Genomic DNA, 14922 nt, shown 5'->3' on the forward strand with positions numbered 1-14922 from the left:
ATGAACCATTTTCAATTTTTTAAAAAAGAGAAAAGATTACTGGAAAGGAGTCTTTTAAAGCATGAACGGAATGTAACTTTTAAGGTAGCATCAAAAGCTACAGTCTTCAGGTGAAACTGAAGCTTACTGAAGGCATTTAAAATAAATTTTCCAATAATATAATTTTTTTTTACAAGTTAAAGCTGGAGATGGATCATCTACTCTAGTTCACTGGTTCTCAAAGAGCGCTGGGAGGGTGAGAATATGTCAGAGTCCATTGGGAATTTTTATTTTTCACATTTTATATACAGTCTGTGTGGGTTTCTCAGCTCTATTTAAAATATACGTGTCTTCATTCATTCTGGGTGTGGGAGTGGAAGGGGGAAGTGGAATTTGACAAAACTCCCTAGGGATTTGGATATTGTGGTCTAAGGGAAGGCACAGGTATAAATTTATTTCTCCTTCTAAGAGAAGAGCCAAGGCCAGTTTTACTCCATGAGGAAAAAAGTGTGAAAATAAATTCCATGTTTGTATAATAATTTGCCTGGCATAGAAATTAACAAGAGAGTGATACGGGTTAATGGGGGTGGGAGAAGAGGAGAGGAAAGGGGAGACATGAGGGTAAGGTCAACAGCAGGAGGAGGGGTGCAGTCTGTACACCCTCCTCCCCATGCCTGGCAGAGGTGTGAGGTCAACATCACTTCACCACGGTATGATTGTCCTCTGTGTTGTCTATTTGGATATATGGGGTCTGGGAAATGGGGTGACTGTAACTCTGCCTTGAGTCAGCAGGAAGGAGCCAGGAGCCCTGGGCAAATGACTGAGTGTGTGCACAGCTAGCTTGCAAATGAGATATCTAAACACAGGTGCATACTTGATTGGCCTGACAACATTTCTGACCTATTTTAAATATGGAAAAATTATTTGTCTCAATTTTGCTGCTTTCACAGATGGGACAATGACTGTGGTTATAATGATCTGAACTCCAGGTACCTCAAGAGAAGAAATAGCTAAACATTGATATTACTCAGAAAAGACCTCTCCTAACTCCTACCCACCCCTTTACATCTTTGACTTCTATGTGTTTTAAAGGTCTGGATTAATCAGTCTCTCATCTTTATTCATGCTTTCCAGACATTCTGGAATTGTGCAGAACTGGACACCTGTGTCTAGAATCAGTAGCTCAGTTCATCCTGGATTTGCATACTGTGAATAACAGACTTCAGGTGCTTTCTGACTTTATTGAAAGTAGTAGTTAGGGAGAGAAATCACCAGGGAAGGAAAGAAAAATAACAGTAATTAGACTATTTGGGAAGCAACAGGCTGGGTCATTCGTTTTATCATCACGATAGCTCTGTGACGTAACATTATCATCATCATTTTATAGAGGGGACACTGAAGCTCAGAGGGGTTAATTGGCTTGTCTAAGGACAAGAAGTGGTTGAGTTGGGAGCACCCCCAAATCTGTCCAACTTCAAACACATTGCCTTTCTCTGCATGGCCACAAGTGCCCCATTGATTAATACATCTAACAGAAAGCTAATCTTGAGGCCTAACAGAAAGCTATCTAACAGAAAGCTATCTAACAGAAAGCTATCTAACAGAAAGCTAATCTAACAGCTAATCTTGAGTCCTGTGTCCCATTGAGAGCTGGTACTAGCATGAACATGTGAACTCTTTGCCTTGGATGGGCAGACACCCAGAAAGCCCCGTCTGTAGCCTGTGCTGCTTGACCCTTTCCTTAGCGTGATTTTGCAATATTATGGGAACACCTCAGTGTCTTCTGGATACGCACAATTCTCATTGCTAAATGCTAAAAATGTAATTATTATATCTGAGTTTTATTTAAATTTTTAAAATGTTTTATTTCATTTTATTTTCTAATATTTTATAGAAAAGTTGCAGAATGAGTATAGAGAGTTCAAATATCATCCTCACCCAGTTTCTGCTAATATTTATATCTTACCATAACCATGGTACAGTTGCATTTAGTGTCTCTAGTCTGTGTCAGTTTCTCAGCTCTATTTAAAATTACCTTGCCAGTTTTAAAGATTACTATTCAGGCATTTTGTAGAATGTCCCTCAGTTTGGGTTTGTCTGATATTTTTCTCTGTTAGACTGAGGTAAAGTGCCCTACTCATCACGTTAGGAGTTCTGTGATATTAACATCACTGGTCACTGGTGATGTTAACCTTGATCACTCGGTGAAGGTGGTGTCTGCCAGGAACATTGTAAAGTTACTATTTTTTCCCCCATTTTCACACTTTGTTCCTTGGGAGCAAGTCATGTCCAGTACAAACTCAGAGGGAGGGAAATTATGTGCACCTCCTGGAGGGTTCCCCACATTTTGCCTGCTATAGTTAAAAATTCTCAGCCCTCCAAATTTCGTATTCATAAAAGCACACAAAAATAACTCCCTGGGCCGGGCGCGATGGCTCAGCCTGTAATCCCAGCACTTTGGGAGGCCGAGGCGGGTGGATCACGAGGTCAGGAGATCAAGACCATCCTGGCTAACACCGTGAAACCCCGTCTCTACTAAAAAATACAAAAACTTAGCTGGGCGTGGTGGCGGGCACCTGTAGTCCCAGCTACTCGGGAGGCTGAGGCAGGAGAATGGCATGAACCCGGGAGGCGGAGCTTGCAGGTGAGCCGAGATCGCGCCACTGCACTCCAGCCTGGGCGACAGAGCGAGACTCCGTCTCAAAATAAATAAATAAATAAAATAATAAAAAAATAACTCCCCCTCTTTCATCTGCAGTCCCCTCACTAGCCCGCTTTTACTCTATTCACTTTCCTGCCCTGAATAACGTTGCCGATGCTGGTCATTTTCTTCCTCGGGGTTGTGATCTTTGCTGCACACAGCAGCCAGCCTCAGTGGTGTAGTTTGTGCTTCCTCCTCCCTCCGAACGCCTAAATTGCGGCACCAAAGAGGCCGCAATGACTGGTGAGCAAGACTCCTCTTCCTCATATTTTGTGAGGAAGGAAGCTGGCAAGACTATGAATTTGTGTACATTTATAAATTGTGTTCCTGTTACACATGGTTATTAAAAACATGCTTGATCTGTTCAGTTTCTGAATATCTGAACTAATTCAGCTCATTAAGGGAATTTGTATACTTAGGTCAACAGCTTCTACAGAGGCGTTGCCTTGACGCCATCTAGTGGCAATATAGGCACAATTCTGAGAAGCATTTTAAAAAGTCTTGAGTACAGGAATACAGGTTTGCAAGAGAGATGTAGAATAGGGGATGGAAGATGGAACTGTACTGAGTCTGGTAGCAGGACAGGGTGATTTTTTGGGGGAAAGTGCCAGGTTTTGGAAACCAATGCTTGTTCTTTGTTTCATTCTTTTTAATATTCTTATTATAGACTGCTCTGTTGACGCTGAGTGTAAAGCCATAACTTGCCCCTATGAGCGTCTCTTTGGATGCTTGCATCCCGCTTGATGTTTCATCAGCTTTCTTTTCTTGGTTCAGGTACTGCTAAAGTAGCTGAGGGCTCAGAACAGTGGGGAATAGGAGCATGAATGCAAGAGACTTTGGTAGAAAGAATTATGGTAGTATTATGGCAGACACATTTTGGTTGTGTCAAAATTAAAAACCATAGTGTTACTCTGGTAAAGAGGATGGCACTGAGGCTGTTACTCTCCACATACACCCCTTCATTGCAGCTCTTGGTGTGGATGCCGATAGGCTGAACAGTTCTGTGTGGAGATGAAGTAGCAGCCGTGGTTCACAGATTTCTCTCCTGCCTCACCTCTCCTAGAATTTATTATTCAGCAGTTGATATTTATCCTGTCTTCTCCTTGTTTTTGCTTGTTTGCTCACCCTATCCTTCCCTTTGTTTTCATTGTCATTGCAGTAAGCCTTTGCATAGGTGTAAATATGGCTCTCATGTTTATATATTCAAATTTCAAACATATTGAAACCATTAATTATTTGCCTCACCCACCAGAACATAAGCTGCATGAGAGCAGCAACTTTGTTTCTTTCCATTGTATCCCAAGAGCTTGGAACAGTGGACTGGCACATAGTAGTCATTAATAAATATTGGTTAAATAATTGATAAATGTCATGCTTTCCCTTTTTTTTTTTTTTTTTTTTTTTTTGAGACGGAGTCTCTCTCTGTTGCCCAGACTAGAGTGCAATGGCATGATCTCGGCTCACTGCAATCTCCACCTCTCGGGTTCAAGTGATTCTCCTGCCTCAGCCTCCTGAGTAGCTGGGACTACAGGTGTGTGCCACCATGCCCGGCTAATTTTTGTATTTTCAGTAGAGATGGGGTTTCACCATGTTGGCCAGGCTGGTCTCGAATTTCTAACCTCAAGTGATCCACCCGCCTCGGCCTCCCGAAGTGCTGGGATTATAGGCGTGAGCCACCGCGCCCGGCCCATGCTTTCCCTTTTTATAACATGAGGTACCTTGCATTTGCCACTGTTAAATTCTCAGACTGTCTTACTTAGGTTTTGTGGAGTTAGGTCGGGTGGAAGTAGGATTTCAGGAGACTGTGCTCTAGGCTGTCTGGATTTTAGTTCTTTCCTTCGGAAGGCCATTCTGTAATTGTGTCTCTGTACCTAATGTCAGATCCCAGGCCAGTGTCAGGTAGATGTAAGTGACGGTGGGACCGTTACCTTCAAGAACGTTTCTTCTGGTCACAGCTGTAACATCTTTACCAGAGAAGGGATTTCAGACAGTAACAAAACTGAGTGGTGAGAAGTGAAATGCTCTGCCATAATACTGATACCGTCCCCAGGGATTCTGACACAGCCAGCAGCAGTACGTGTTCATCAGCACTGAAGCAGGGCACCTCCTGATTCAGCAGAGAGACCCTCCCCTCCCCAGCCATGTTGGCGGCTGCCCTAGGATTGCTGATGCCCATTGCAGGGGCTGAATTTCTCATTGGCCTGGTTGGAAATGGAGTCCCTGTGGTCTGCAGTTTTAGAGGATGGGTCAAAAAAATGTAAGGAGTCCCTATAAATTCTCATGATTCTGGTAAGTAGCCACTTTCTCCTACTCAGGCCGATCATGTTGGACATAAGTCTGTTTCCACTTTCCCAGAGCAGTGGTTGGCTTTACTATCTTAATGTCTTCGAGTCCTGGTAAGCCAGGCCAACATGTAGTTTGCCACTTTCTTCAGTGGCTTCTGCTGCATGGAGATCATGACCTTTGTCCCGCTGACTTCTTGTAGCTGAAAAGACTGGGTTTTTGTTTTTTGCTAGTGTCTTTCAAGATCACTTTTTATTTCTCAGCTCTTGTTGGCTGGACCCTTTAAAAACCCTTAACAGGAAACAGCAACATCCTGCATCCCATTTTAAATCTGTTATTTTTATAGATTGCTGTCCAGTGAAGGAGACTGATTGCTATTTGTGATGTTTCTGTTCCACTTGTCTTTTTGTAAAGACATCACAGGAAGATGGAGGACCACACAGCTGTCAGGAGGAGGCTCAAACCAAGGTGCTCATCGCTCTGAACTTCCCCCTTTACATGGTTTCTGCCTTGGCCAGACACTTTTCCATGACCTTCTAATCTCCCTCTGATCTCACCATTCTTGCCATCTCTGCAACACTCATGGCTGTTTATACTTCATTTCCGTCTATTGTAATGGTTATGAGGAATCAGACTTGTCAGAGAATTCTGTAGGAGATGATATGTACATGGAAATCCTAGAGGCCATGACTTGGAAGAAGGATCTAATCAGGCCCTTAACTGTATCACTGACAACAGTAAAAATAACTGTAGATTTTAGAAAAATGAAATTTTTATTCTCAATTCTCCTCATTTCTTCTTTGATTTTGAAACAAAATGAAAGGGTAACATGAAAAACAGGCTAGAAACTGGAGCTTATTGCTCTCTAAGCAATGCAAATCACATCATTTTAATAAACTACAGAAGTCAAAACCGAGTTTTCATATTTTGCATGGGAAGTATCACATTTTTAAAAATTACTGCAGATAATCAAGTTTTCTTTGCCAATATGCTATGTTTTTGATAAAAGGAAGTAGAAAATAGCTATAGTTTGAAAATAATATATTTTAAAAAGAGGTGAGCCTGTATATTTTTTAGGCAAGCACTTTTCTTAGGGGAATTAGCTAAATTATTATCTCAATTTTCTATGTAGTTTAGCCTCTCAACACCGGTAGTAAAGTAGTCAAAAACCTACCTTTATATTTCTGGATACTTTGGTTTTTTTGATGCCAGACTAGCTTTCTGGAAACGTGTCAGTTGGCTACCAGGATCGGTGGCAAATTCCACTGCCAGGCTAGATTGGGGCAGGTGGGGAGAGAGAGGCACTATGTCTCTATCAGAAAGTCACTGAAGAAACACTGTTTTTGGACGAGTTCAAGCCTCATCTAGATTTTTAGTCCAGTAGAAGATCGCGACCACCTCTGCCCCTCCATAGCCTACAGCCAGAGTTTTAGAGTACCAGGCCTTGCAGCTTGGTGGAGATGATGTACAATGGATGCTACCTGGAGGCAGGGACTGTGTATTATAATGGCGCCGTCCCCTGTGCCTAGTACACCGTAGTTTGACACAAAATAAGCACTTTGTAAATTTAGTCCGAAGGAATGGAAATCTCATCCTACAATCCATTCAGTTATTAATAGAGCAACTGAGGCCCAGAGACGGGCAGTGGCCTGCCTGCCTACAGCTTCGTAGAGAGTTCTCAGCATGCTTACTTTTTTTTTTTGAGATGGAGTCTTGCTCTGTCGCCCAGGCTGGAGTGCAGTGGCGCGATCTTGGCCCACTGCAGCTTCCATCTCCTGGGTTCAAGTGGTTCTCCTGCCTCAGCCTCCCGAGTAGCTGGGACTACAGGCAGCCACCACCACGCCCAGATAATTTTTGTATTTTTAGTAGAGATGGGGCTTCACCATGTTGGCCAGGGTGGTCTCGAACTCCTGGCTTCAGGTGATCCACCCGCCTTGGCCTCTCAAAGTGTTGGGATTACAGGTGTGAGCCACCATGCCTGGCCCAGTGTTCTTTTCATGAAAATAAAATTTCTTTTTTTATATAGCATATGAGCTCATAACTGGCACTGTATAGCACCTGAGCATGTTTTGATTTGGTCTTTCTTGTTGAGGGGCCTTGTTACGTTATACCCTGGTGTCTAGACTTTGGCCCAAAACCTTTGAGATGGAGAGCCGGTGTCTGTGGTACTGTTTGCAATCTCTGGTTCTACACTCAGGGTTCATTCATGTAGATGCAAATACAGATGGTATCATAACTTCCAACCTCTCTGTTCCTCATCACAGCTGTTCAGTCTCGCTTGAAGACAGATTACGGAAGGACGAGGCCAAATCCAGATTTTGTGGTGTGAAAATTTACCCTGGTGTGTTATCACTACCAGGGGATCTGACCTCAGCCAGGAGCAGTGAGAGCCTCCTCTCCCCAGCCATGCTGAGCGCTGGCCTAGGACTGCTGATGCTGGTGGCAGTGGTTGAATTTCTCATCGGTTTAATTGGAAATGGAAGCCTGGTGGTCTGGAGTTTTAGAGAATGGATCAGAAAATTCAACTGGTCCTCATATAACCTCATTATCCTGGGCCTGGCTGGCTGCCGATTTCTCCTGCAGTGGCTGATCATTTTGGACTTAAGCTTGTTTCCACTTTTCCAGAGCAGCCGTTGGCTTCGCTATCTTAGTATCTTCTGGGTCCTGGTAAGCCAGGCCAGCTTATGGTTTGCCACCTTCCTCAGTGTCTTCTATTGCAAGAAGATCACGACCTTCGATCGCCCGGCCTACTTGTGGCTGAAGCAGAGGGCCTATAACCTGAGTCTCTGGTGCCTTCTGGGCTACTTTATAATCAATTTGTTACTTACAGTCCAAATTGGCTTAACATTCTATCATCCTCCCCAAGGAAACAGCAGCATTCGGTATCCCTTTGAAAGCTGGCAGTACCTGTATGCATTTCAGCTCAATTCAGGAAGTTATTTGCCTTTAGTGGTGTTTCTTGTTTCCTCTGGGATGCTGATTGTCTCTTTGTATACACACCACAAGAAGATGAAGGTCCATTCAGCTGGTAGGAGGGATGTCCGGGCCAAGGCTCACATCACTGCGCTGAAGTCCTTGGGCTGCTTCCTCTTACTTCACCTGGTTTATATCATGGCCAGCCCCTTCTCCATCACCTCCAAGACTTATCCTCCTGATCTCACCAGTGTCTTCATCTGGGAGACACTCATGGCAGCCTATCCTTCTCTTCATTCTCTCATATTGATCATGGGGATTCCTAGGGTGAAGCAGACTTGTCAGAAGATCCTGTGGAAGACAGTGTGTGCTCGGAGATGCTGGGGCCCATGATCTGGGAAGAAAAGTGTGGTCAGGACACTCTTGGGACGCTCTTTTGATAGCTCTCTATAAGGGAGCTGCTTTCCATGTCTTTTAAGATTTTCCTTCTTTTACACCAATGTAATGAATGAGCAACAGAAAATACGGATCAAAACCCAATACTATGTCTCTTTTGGCAATGCAAAGTATATTTTTTTAATGTACCACAGAAATCAAGGCTAGGGCTTCATGTTTGGTAAAAGAGGTATTATATTCTCTCTACATATAGCAAATAATTCATATATAAATCGTGTTTTTCCTATTATAAAAAGCAGAGATTAGGAACAATTCTGTCTACATATAGCAAAAATTCATATATAAATTGTGTTTTTCCTAGTATAGAAAACAGAGATTAGGAACAATTATAGTGATCATTAATTTTTATGAAATTTTACCTATACATTAATGTTAGTCATTTTAGATATGCTTTTTAAAAAGTATCAAATAATTTCCCCATTTCTCTGCTGTAATGTATCTAATTATCTAACTGAAAAACAAAACAAAACATCTTTATATTTCTGGAAGTTTCTTTGAGCCCTAGCCTTGGCTTTCAGAATAAAAATCAGGCTCACGCCTGTAATCCCAGCGCTTTGGGAGGCTGAGGCGGGCGGATCACGAGGTCAAGAGATCAAGACCAAATTAGCCGGGCGCGGTGGCGGGCGCCTGTAGTCCCAGCTACTCGGGAGGCTGAGGCAGGAGAATGGCGTGAACCCGGGAAGCGGAGCTTGCAGTGAGCCGAGATTGCGCCACTGCAGTCCGCAGTCCGGCCTGGGCGACAGAGCGGGACTCCGTCTCAAAAAAAAAAAAAAAAAGAGATCAAGACCATCCTGGCTAACATGATTAAACCCCATCTCTACTAAAAATACAAAAAATTAGCCTGGTGTGTTGGCGGGCACCTGTAGTCCCAGCTACTCGGGAGGCTGAGGCGGGAGAATGGCATGAACCCAGGAGGTGGAGATGGCAGTGAGCCGAGACCATGCCACTGCACTCCAGCCTGGGCAACAGAGCGAGATGCCGTCTCAAAAAAAAAAAAAAAAGCAGAATAAAAGTCAGTTGGATGCCATGATCTGTATTAAGCTCCAAGGCCCAGGAACTGAAGTGGGGCAATATGAGAATGAGGGGCACTTGATTCTGCTTAAAAAAAATAGACTGCCTTTGAAGAGGTCACGCTGTCTGCTCTTCAGTCATTTAGCCATTTTGCCTGTCTACTGTGGCCTCACCACAGCCTACAGTCAGAGTTCTAGTGTGCCAGGTCTTTGAGTTGGAGGGAGATCATTTAGAATGCCAGATCCATGGCAGTAGGAACTGTGTCTGTTTTTATTTTCTCCCACGTCTCTGTGACTAGAACACTGCCTATTGCATAATAAACGCTTAATAAATATTTTGTAAATGACTGAATAGCTGTGCTAACTGGTTTTACAATGCCTCCTTTGTATTGTAGGTAGAGAAACTGATGCCCAGAGAGGGGCAGTGGCCTGCCCTGGGTTTCATAGAGAGCCTGTGGCAGTGCTGGGACTAGAGCTGTTTCTTGACTCCTGGTGCAGGGCTCTTTCCTTTACAACATGCTACTTTCCTAATGTCCTTCCCTCCTTGGAACCCCATGCCTCTTTCTACAGACCCTTCTACACAACTTATTCTCTTCCTTCTTTCTAGCCTTCTTTGTTTCAGTTCCAGGGGGATCTGAAATCCAAAGGACAACACTTGGCATTCTTAAATATTTTTTTTTCACTTCCTATGGATCACACTAATCTACTTTCATTAATCTATTCTCTCAAACATATCTTTTTCTTACCTGAATCTGAGAATTGAGGTACATGCTAGGCACATGTGGATATTAGTCATCACACAGGGGGAGATTGGTTCCACTGTCACTGTGAGTTGTGTGAGGTCAAGTACCATATTTTATGTCCTGGGAAGGATCATATTCATTCTTTTTAAATAGAAAGGTGCTTCTGCTTGGTTATATTTTTGTTAGTAGGATGAATTTTCATTATACCATTTCTATTTTTTTTACAGATGTCCTTTGTGACCAATTGTTGTAATAGTGACAATAGTATTTAACATTTGTATTGGGCTTTACATTTTACCAGACAATCTCATATATAGTCCATTATCTCATTTGATTTTAATAGCAACTCTATGCAGTAACCAATTTTATCCCCAATTCACAGGTGACAAAACTCAGGCTGGAGTGATGGTTTGCCCAGGATCATGAACTTGTAAATAATGCAGATGGAGCAGACCCAAATTTTTTGACTCCGAGTCTTGTGCTCTTTCCAGTAAATCCTAAGTATCTCATTGTTCATACTTGTAAGACTTCAAACTAGGATTAGCCTGTGGAACTTCCCTCAAGTTTATGAGTATTTTTACACACATGCAATAAGCAACTAATCTTTCAAATTTGGTATTGATGGGATGCCTGGGTGCTAAGATCCAAAATCACAACAGATCAAAGTTTATGATCTGCTTTTCTTAGTGACAAGGTATGGAATCAACCTAAGTGTCCATCAACACATGAACAGATAAGGAAAATGTAGTGTATGCATGTATGTGTATCTGTTTCATTTTCTACTTTTCTGTACTGTTCAAATTGTTTTTAGCCATGCTCAAATATCACATTTGAACATTTGAACAGATAAAAAAATGTAGTATACATATGTATGTGTATATATGTATACACACACACAATGGAATATTATTCAGCTTTAAAAAAGAAGGAAATCTTGTCATTTGAAAAAATGTGGATGAACCAGGAGGACCATTATGCTAACTGAAATAAGCCACATACAGAAAGACAAATACTGTAAGATCTCACAGATGTGTGGAATTTCAAAAAGCCAAACTCACAGAAGCAGAGTAGGATGGTGGTTGCCAGGGCCTGGGACGTGGGGGAAATAGGGAGATGTTTGGTGTCTGTTAGGAAGAATGAATAAGCTCTGGAGAGCTAATGTACAGCATAGTGACTATAGTTAATAGAACCGTATTATATACTTGAAATTTGTGAAGAGAGTAGATGTTAAATGTTTTCACTAACAACAACAACAAAGATAATTGTGAGGTGGTGGATATATTAACTTGATTGTGGTACTCATTTCACAGTGTATACATATGTCAAAACATCATGTTGCATACTGTAGATATATACCATTTTTGTCAATCATTCCTCAATAAAGCAGGAAAAATTATTGCATTTTCCACATCACCTTTTGGGATTTGATTTCCTTCTTTTTCTGTACACAATTTACCTTATGATGCGTATGAGACTGCTTTGTGTTTTAGCAAAGAAAACAAATGGGAAGGCAAATATATACTCTTGAATTGATTCCTATGTAATTGAATCTTTTATAATTTGCATTCTTAGAGTTGCAGCTGGATCCATGTGTGCGTGTGTGTGTGTGTGTGTGTGTGTGTGTAGATGTTAATGGCCTTACATTTAATTATGTGATATGCTCTGTGGTGGTGTAGCCGAGAGGAGACGTGAAATGTTAAAAATGTGATATGTGAGCATGGCTAAAAACGATTTGAACAGGACAGAAAGGTAGAAAATGAACAGCAACGTTTTTCCCTCCCACCTTCTATTATTAGTCCCACTGCCTGGATATAATGGTATCTTATCACTTGTGTTAGTTCTTTTAGTGGTTATTTTTTACGACTCTGAATGGTAAGATTTTGGCTCTCTTACTTGTTTTATCAGCTTTAAACTGTAGCCTTTGAGTTCCATTCATCAAGGTTTGGGGATTATCTCATTTTGCCCCTAATCCATTTTCCTCTCCTAAATTGATTAGTTTTATTTTGTTGTTCTAACAGTCATTACTTTTACAATTGTAAGTAATATATTTTCTACACTGCTTTTTTGAACCATGCCTTATGACAGTATCCACAGAGTCCCGATTATGTAGGAGGAAGAAATTAGTGCTTCACCAGTCCTGCACTTCTCCCATATCCCAACTCCTGTCACCTGTGGTATCAGTTATAAACAACTTCATATGACTTCAGGAGAAAGTACACTTATCAAAAGGAAATTGGCTAGATTATAGAACCAGGGAGAAGGCTGGAGAGTCAACCTCAGAATGGGAACCAAGAGGGGTTAAATAAACAAGAACACAATCAAGTCACACTACAGGGACTGATGCTGGCACCACCTCTCCTGTTCAGCTGTTAACATTGTGTTCTTGACACTGCCACTGCCTCTGAGACTGTGTCTCTTCGAGCCATCCTGGGTGGGATTTTTGGCTGGCTGATTCTAGATCACAGGCCTAACCTAGCTGACAGGCCCTGGGGTGAGGAAAAGCCTGGTTTCCCTTTGGCTTCTGAAATATGCACTTTTAAATTAGGTGAAATAAATTATTCCACCATTGAATTAAGCAGCAGAATGGGTACAGCTCCTGGTGTGGAATTGATGCACTGGAAGGCCAGCTCTAGAACTCTCGCAGGAGATATGGCAAAGTAATAAAGTGATGGGAAATTTAAAAGCAAAGCAATATGGCACACAGAAATAAAAGGACACTCATAGGTGTGATTGGAGCCCCAGAAGGAGATGGAAAAAATAAGCACAAGGAATGAAATATTTGAAGAATTAATGACCAAGAATTGCATTAACGATGAAAAAAGACTAAAAGGGCTCAAGGGGTGTCAAAGAAGACAGATAAAGTGGGAGGAATTCGTCACACTTAAACACATTGTAGAGATTTAAGAATATCGAAGACAGGCAATTTTACAAAATTTTGAAAGAACAGATCAAGAATCAGATTGACATTTCTCAGGAGAATACAGAACAAGATTTTTCATGACATTTTATTCTAGTAAATATTTTGTTATTTTCAAGTAACACCAAGAAGAAAAGTTTAGAAATATTTTTCTGGCTAGGAACATATTTTATATTAATTATAAATGGAGAGTTAATTCTAAAAATGTCAGTGAAGGCTCAGTGGTTGATTATCATAAGGTTAGTGAGCAAATTCTGAAATATTTGAACAATCAAAGAAAATCTTGAAACTAAAGGATTTGGAGAGATTGTGATGTCAATACTCACAAATGAATTAAAGGAGTCAATGTGGCATAGAATTGGAGATGACTCTGGAGGGAAAAAAAGTAGCACAAATAACTGCCAGTGCATCAGAATTTGTTAGAATGCAGTGAAGAAAACAGGAAAAATTAAGCATTTCAATTGAATACAAAAGAAACAAACAGGGGGCTGGGTGCGGTGGCTCACGCCTGTAATCCCAGCACTTTGGGAGGCCGGGGCAGGAGGACCACGAGGTCAGGAGATCGAGACCATCCTGGCTAACACGGTGAAACCCCGTCTCTACTAAAAATACAAAAAAATTAGCTGGGCGTGGTGGCAGGCACCTGTAGTCCCAGCTACTCGGGAGGCTGAGGCAGGAGAATGGCGTGAACCCAGGAGGTGGAGCTTGCAGTGAGCCGAGATTGCACCACTGCACTCCAGCCTGGGCGATAGAACGAGACTCCATCTCAAAAAGAAAAAAAAAAGAAACAGAGTAAACTTTCTCCCAATTAAAGAGAAGGCCTTAGCAATAGATGAGCATCTTAAGAAAGAAGCTGAAAACATTGCTGCAGTGATCTCCCTTAGTGGAAGCTACTGGAGTGGCTTCAAGGACTTCCACATTCTACACATCTGTTGAGTTTTTGGTGAAACTGAGTGAAGATTAAACAGCAGTAAAAACATTCCTCCTGTGTTTTAAAAAGTGTACTGATAGATACAGTTGTACTCTGGTTCAGATTTTAAATTTTACCTTTTTTAGTTGACAAATAGTAATTGTATATATTCATGGGGTACTTAGTGATGTTTTGATACACATAATGTATTGTGATCACATCAGGGGAATGAGCACATCTGTCATCTCAAACATTTATTATTTCTTTGTGTTGGGAACATTCAATATCCTCCTAGCTATGTGAAACAATGTAATACCTTATTGTTAACTATAGTCATCCTACACTGGTTCAGATTTTTAATTGTAGTGAAATTAATCTCTAAAAATTAATTCCCTCAAAGATCTATAATAAGCTCCAGTATAAAGGCTGTGAATGATTGATTGACAGATGTTGAGTGCAAAGGCTATAGAGATATATCATCCTAGGATTTTTATTAGGGTTCTTTTTATTTCAGTTAGTGCTCTAGTTACAAAGTTACATCGGTTTTCAATAGTCTTTTCCAACCTTATTCTGTCCTACCCCCAAATACACTCATATTTTGTGTATGATTTTGCAGAATTTAAAGTTTTACAAGAACATATATATCACTTTATGAAGGAAGGCCTGTATATACCTCATAGGTTGTCATGAAGATTAAATGAATTAATAGATGTAAAGGGCTTACAAGAGTACCCGGTATATAATAATGGATGTAATTTTTTATCCTTAATATTATTATCATACTACTATTTAGGAAAAATAATTTTTACTTTTGACAAATTATAATAATGTAAATTATGGGGTACACAGTGATAGTGATGTTATATATAAACAGTGTGGAATGATTGAATCAAGCTAATTAATATATCTATCACCTTAAATACTTATTTATTCCACTTGTGTAACTTAACTGCAACAATCTACTCTTTGATCAACATCTCCTGATTCCGTCCACCCCGCCCCCAGCCTCT

The 14922-nt window shown here is 41.2% G+C and overlaps 1 protein-coding gene and 1 pseudogene across 1 annotated transcript; both read left to right on the plus strand.

The window, feature by feature from the left end:
• On the plus strand, positions 4822-5644 carry TAS2R6P (taste 2 receptor member 6, pseudogene; annotated as a pseudogene).
• On the plus strand, positions 7225-8375 carry TAS2R5 (taste 2 receptor member 5). Its single transcript, NM_018980.3, has one exon. It carries the CDS (start codon positions 7370-7372, stop codon positions 8267-8269), a length of 900 nt encoding a protein of 299 aa, NP_061853.1. The 5' UTR covers positions 7225-7369; the 3' UTR covers positions 8270-8375.
• The last annotated feature ends 6547 nt before the right edge of the window (positions 8376-14922 follow it).

This window comes from Homo sapiens, chromosome 7 (assembly GCF_000001405.40).
Source record: "Homo sapiens chromosome 7, GRCh38.p14 Primary Assembly".
In the NCBI taxonomy this organism is placed as follows: domain Eukaryota; kingdom Metazoa; phylum Chordata; class Mammalia; order Primates; family Hominidae; genus Homo; species Homo sapiens.